Source organism: Homo sapiens, chromosome 10, assembly GCF_000001405.40.
Source record: "Homo sapiens chromosome 10, GRCh38.p14 Primary Assembly".
Lineage (NCBI taxonomy): Eukaryota > Metazoa > Chordata > Mammalia > Primates > Hominidae > Homo > Homo sapiens.
The window spans coordinates 34053432-34060077 of record NC_000010.11 but is presented as its reverse complement, the minus strand read 5'-3'; positions in this window follow the sequence as shown (position 1 = coordinate 34060077).

Sequence of the window (6646 nt, the reverse complement as noted above, 5' to 3'; positions counted from 1 at the left end):
TTATTTGGGAATCAGTTCTGAGCAACGTGGTTGAGTTTTCAGCCTCACAATCATCATCTAGAACCTCGCTACTCAAAGTGTGGTCCATGGACCAGACTATCAGCCATCACCTCGGGGCTTCTTAAGAGTGTAGCTTCTCAGGATGCACCCCAGATCTCCTGAATCAAAATCTGAGTTTTAACAAGATACCCTGGTGGTTCATGCGCCTATTCGTGTTAGAGAAACGCTAACCTAGAAAGCAGATGCATTTTCTTTTTTCTTTCTTTCTCTTTTTTCTTTTTCTTTTTTTTTTTTTTTTTAGATGGAGTCTTGCTCTGTCACCCAGGCTGGAGTGCAGTGGCGTGATCTCGGCTCACTGCAACGCTTACCTCCTAGGTTCAAGTGATTCTCCCACCTCAGACTCTTGAATAGCTGAGATTACAAGTATGCACCACCATGCCCTGCTAATTTTTGTGTTTTTAGTTGGGGTTTCACTATTTTGGCCAGGCTGGTCTTGAACTCCTGACCTCAAGTGATCCGCCTGTCTCAGCCTTCCAAAGGGCTGGAATTACAGGAATGAGTCACTGTGCCCAGCCAACAGATGTGTTTTCTAAATGAAGATGCTCTTCCCGGCACCACATTTGAAGGCCCGACTGTGGCATGGCCAGGAAAGCAGAGAAAGGCTCTTCGTGAACTCGTTCCTAACAGACAGATTTCTCAAGGAAATGCAAGGCCCGGCCTTAACAGTGTTTATACGGTTTCATTCTCATGTTCTAACTTGTGACTTTGGAGTCGTCTGAAATTTTTCCTTTGATATAATGAGATAAATATATGATCTTGGATTCTCTTCCTCCCTCTTCACTAGACTGTTCCAGAAATAAAGAGTCAGCCATAAGCCTTAGGGGAGTTGAGAGGAAAACTTTTAGAACATGAAATTTTGGTCCAAATGGGATTTTTGCTGGTGTTACTAATTAAGATTCTCTTTAAAACTAGGCCAGCCCTGTGCTCTCCGGTTGGCAGTCTGTTTAGAATCTCTCTGTAAACACGCAGTGGCTTGTACAAATAGGGAGGCTTTACTTTTCCATCATAAAGAGGGCCTGAAATAAATCCCAGACAACTCTAGAAGTTTGTCTTTGCCGTAAAAATAGTGGAATTCATTGAAGGCTGCCTCATTGCACTCAGACAGGGTACAAGCTGGCCAGCTAATTGGCCCTGGGAACCAGCTGGTGGTGGGTTTTCACTCTCTTCAGACTGCGGAAGGGGGGGTCACTCTTAGTTTTCCTTTCCAGGATATTTTTTACAGCTGTCTATTTAGGCGATGTGCATTTTCTTACAGAGCAGGAGTGTCCAATCTTTTGGCTTCCCTGGGCCACATTGGAAGAAGAAAAATTGTCTTGGGCCACACATAAAATACACTAACATTAGCGATAGCTGATGAGCTAAAGAAAAATTGCAAAAAAGTCGCATAATGTTTTAAGAATATTTATGAATTTGTGTTGGGCCGCAGACAAAGCCATCCCGGGCTGCATGTGGCCCGTGGGCTGCGGGTTGGACAAGCTTGCTATAGAGTAAGCCAGACTGCCTGATTTTCAATTAGTGACCCTATACAACTCCAAAGCTTACATGGCTGGTGTCTGGCAACACCATGCCCCGCTTTGAGATAGAATTTTAATCATCAGATCCTGACTTCTGTATTGTTGACTGAGAGAAAGAAAGTTGAGAGTTTCACATCCTTCTCTTTTACATATGCCAAAGGAAGTGCTTGTGTGTGGCCACATTGCCTAAAAACCTAAGTAGCTAAATGGCACTGGGGCTGGAAGAGCCAGAAATGAGCCATCTACACCAGCTTTGAACACTGTGCGAGCCATAACTGTATGCAGAGTGACTGACTGAGCAATTGATTCTCTGCTGGTACAAACTGGCTGGACTTGCCTGACTCCTCATCTGAGCTGGTCTTCTTTAAGGAAGCAACGCCACCGGTCCCCAATTTGTCATGTTCATCTCTGTATACTCAGAGGAAAGGCCAGTGCCCAATATGTAGCAGATTCTTGGTAAATATTTGTGAAATGTGTGAATGGACTGGATCATTCACCTCTTGGAGGTAACTGTTGAAACTGAATCTATTTTCCGCCACTTAATCTGTGCATTTCTGCCCATTTTACATTGCCTACAATGTCCATATATTAGTTTCCCTTACTCACTTGAGGAAGTTTTCCCACACTCAAGCTGATCAAAGTGCTATTGCTTGTGTTAAGGGTAATTGCTTGTTTATCAAATTAAGACACAGAGACAGGGGCTGAAATCCAGTTGCGTTCAGTTCATATACATTTCAGTAGGAATTATAAATATTTTCATATGAAAATTTGCTAAGAGTTCATGTAAATATAGTGCATCTCACAAAATTGCAAACAATTTAACATAGCTATTCTGCACTGCTCAGGGGCTACATAAAGACCTTGCACGTCCAGGCATTAGAATTGCTAGGATAGGCTGGGCGCAGTGGCTCATACCTGTAATCTCAGCGCTTTGGGAGGCCAAGATGGGAGGATTGCTTGAGGCCAGAAGTGCAAGACCAGGCTGGGCAGCAAGGCAAGACCCTATCTCTGTAAAAAGATTAAAAAAATTAGCCAGGGCAGGTGGTGCACGCCTGTGGTCCCAGCTACTTGGGAGGCTGAGGTGGGATAATTGCTTGAGCCCAGGCGTTCAAGGCTGTAGTGAGCTCTGACCGTGCCACTGCACTCCAGCCTGAGTGATGGAGTGAGATCCTCTCTCTAAAAATCAACCAAACAAAAGTTGCCTAATCACATTTGCTGTGATGATGAGGCTGGTTATGGGAGTTAAGGAGAAGGTAGAGGACATCTAGCACAGGCGGGTGGGGACAGGGGTGTGCATCTCTTCCCACTGCACATGGTCGGGACAGCAGGAAGACTCTGGTTCCCAGTGTGCTGGAGTCTTCTTTGTTGAGCTTCTCTTTCCAGTCACATTCTTGGCAGAGAAAGTGGGTGATCCCCTTAGCAAGGAAAGGAAGGGTTAACCCCCAGTCTCCTTCCCAGGTTGGGAGAGTGACACTGTCTTGACACTGCAGTAGCTTTGCCCTATTCAGAGGTGCTGTGTTGAGAGAAGGGATTTTTTTCCTGATCCTTGAAACACCAAAAATCCCTCCATGTTTTCCCTCTAGGTCTTTACCATCAAAGGGGTGAGGGGTCTTGTTCAGCTGAGTGAAGAGTGCCTGGGGGGAGGGCTATCCAGCCGCTATCCAGGGTCAGGAAGAAAAAGGAGTAACAACATTCTTAGCTGTTATCTTTTTTATTGTTAATTTTGATCGAGATCGGATCTTATACTTGTCACCAAGGCTGGAGTGCAGTGGCACGATTACAGCTCGCTGCAATCTCAAACTCCTGGGCCCAAGCGATCCTCCTGCCTCAGCCTCTGCACTCATGCTGTGTCCGGAATTGGTGGGTTCTTGGTCTCACCGACTTCAAGAATGAAGCCGCGGACCCTCGAGGTGAGTGTTACAGCTCTTAAGGTGGCGCGTCCGGAGTTTGTTCCTTCTGATGTTGGGATGTGTTCAGAGTTTCTTCCTTCTGGTGGGTTCATGGTTTCGCGGGCTCAGGAGTGAAGCTGCAGACCTTCGTGGTGAGTGTTACAGCTTATAAAGGCAGTGTGGACCCAAAGAGTGCGCAGCAGCAGGATTTATTGCAAAGAAAGAAAGAACTAAGCTTCCACAGCGTGGAAGGGGACCCGAGCGGGTTGCCACTGCTGGCTCCGGCAGCCTGCTTTTATTGTCTTATCTGGCCCCACCTACATCCTGCTGATTGGTGGAGCCGAGTGGACTGTTTTGACAGGGTGCTGATTGGTGCGTTTACAATCCCTGAGCTAGGCACAAAGGTTCTCCACATCCCCACCAGATTAGTTAGATACAGTGTCCACACAAAGGTTCTCCAAGTCGCCACCAGAGCAGCTAGATACAGAGTGTGGATTGGTGCATTCACAAACCCTGAGCTAGACACAGGGTGCTGACTGGTGTGTTTACAAACCTTGAGCTAGATATAGAGTGCCGATTCGTGTATTTACAATCCCTGAGCTAGACATAAAGGTTCTCCACGTCCCCACCAGACTCAGGAGCCCAGCTGGCTTCACCCAGTGGATCCCGCACGGGGGCTGCAGGTGGAGCTGCCTGCCAGTCCCGCGCCGTGCGCCCGCACTCCTCAGTCCTTGGGTGGTCGATGGGGCTGGGTGCCCTGGAGCAGGGGGCGGCACTCGTCAGGGAGGCTTGGGTCGCACAGGAGCCCACGGAGCGGGGTGGGGGAGGCTCAGGCATGGCGGGCTGCAGGTCCCGAGCCCTGCCCCACAGGAAGGCAGCTAAGGCCCCGCGAGAAATTGAGCACAGCAGCTGCTGGCCCAGGTGCTAAGCCCTTCACTGCCTGGGGCCGGTGGGGCCTGCTCGCAGCTCCGAGTGCGGGGTCCGCCCATCCCCCACCCACCCGGAACTCGCGCTGGCCCGCAAGCACCACGTGCAGCCCCGGTTCCCGCCCGCGCCTTTCCCTCCACACCTCCCCGCAAGCTTAGGGAGCCGGCTCCGGCCTTGGCCAGCCCAGAAAGGGGTTTCCACAGTGCAGCAGCGGGCTGAAGGGCTCCTCCAGTGCCGCCAAAGTGGGAGCCCAGGCAGAGGAGGCGCTGTGAGCGAGCGAGGGCCGTGAGGACTGCCAGCACGCTGTCACCTCTCAGTGCCACCATACTTGGCTAATTTTTTTTGTAGAGATGGGGTCTCACTATATTGCCCAGGCTGGTCTTGAACTCTGGCCTCAAGTGACTCTCCTGTTTTGGCCTCCCAAAGTGTTGGGATTACAGGCATGAACCTGTCCCCGCGGCTGTGTGATCTTGAGCAAGAGCCTCAGCCTCTCTGAGTCTCAGGTGGGCAGGTTCTCATCCCTCAGTGGGTCATTATAACTCACTTGATACATAGCTTGCAGTGTCGTTGTGAGGATTTGGGACACCACTGTTAGGGCTTCTGGCATGCAGTGGTGACAATGGCTGCTGCTGACTGAGCACCTGCTGTTACTCTGACGGAAACTTTTAGAATTAACCATGTAGGTTCCAAAGGGTGTTATCAGCCTTATATGCTAATCTGGTATCATATCAATAGGAGGAGAGATGGCAAATGTTTCTTCACATTCGCCCAGCTTCCTTTAGAAACTTCCCTTGCCTTGTAACAAGAGGCACACATAGCCATGGGCCAGCACCGTGACCCCACGTCAAAGCTTCCTTACTAGAGCACACTCAGCTAGGAAAGCAGTTAAACTCGGATGATTCTTCCTGGGTGTTTAAAAAAATTCCCTAGACAATTCTGTTATGCTTGTTGGGTTACAATCACTATCCAGAAAGCCCCACTGCTGTGTTAATTTATGCAAAATCCCTGTAGAATTCACTTTCCCTACAAGGTTCTTTTAAAAGAAATTTTGAAACAATCTCAATATTACAGAAAAGTTGCAAACACAGTACTTTCTTTTTTCTGGAACCATTTGAGATTAAGTTGTTGACAAAATGCCCCATGATTTCTGTATTATTATTATTATTATTATTACTATTAGAGACAGGTTCTTGCTCTGTCACCCAGGCTGGAGTGCAATGGTGCAATCATAGCTCACTGCAGCTTCGACCTCCTGGGCTCAAGCGATCCTTCTGCCTCAGCCTCCGAAGTACCTGGGACTACAGGCACCCACCACCAAGGCTGGCTAATTTTTAAATTTTTTGTAGAGCTGGGGCCTCCCAGTGTTGCCCAGGGTGGTCTCAAACTCCTGGGCTCCAACAATCCTCCCTCCTTAGCCTCCCAAAGTGTTTGGATTACAGACGTGAGCCACCATGCCCACCTGATTTCTGAATTCTTGAGTATGTACTTTCTACAAACAAGGGCATTCTCCTATATAATCATAATGCAGTCATCAAAGTAATGATGTTAAAAATGATACCTTTCTTACTATTTGACTCAGTGATCCCATTACTGGTTATATACCCAAAGGATTATAAATCATGCTACTCTAAAGACACATGCACATGTATGTTTATTGCGGCACTATTCACAATAGCATAGACTTGGGACCAACCCAAATGTCCATCAATGATAGACTGGATTAAGAAAATGTGGCACATATACACCTTGAAATACTACACAGCCATAAAAAAGGATGAGTCCATGTCCTTCGTAGCGACATGAAAGAAGCTGGAAACCATCATTCTGAGCAAACTATCGCAAGGACAGAAAACCAAACACAGCATGTTCTCACTCATAGGTGGGAATTGCACAATGAGAACACTTGGACACAGGGCAGGGAACATCACACACCGGGGCCTGTCGTGGGGTGGGGAGATGGGGGAGGGATAGCATTAGGAGAAATACCTAACGTAAATGATGAGTTAATGGGTGCAGCAAACCAACATGGCACATGTTTACATATGTAACAAACCTGCACGTTGTGCACATGTACCCTAGAACTTGATTTAAAAAAAAAGAAAACAAAAGATCCATTTCTACAATTGAATCCTCTGACCTCATTCCAACCTTACCAGTCGTCCCAGCAAGGGTGTGGATAGCAAAAGGATAGACTCTAGAGTCAGGCATTGCGTTCAGTTGTCATGTCACTGTAGTCTTGCAGTCTGGAGCAGTTTT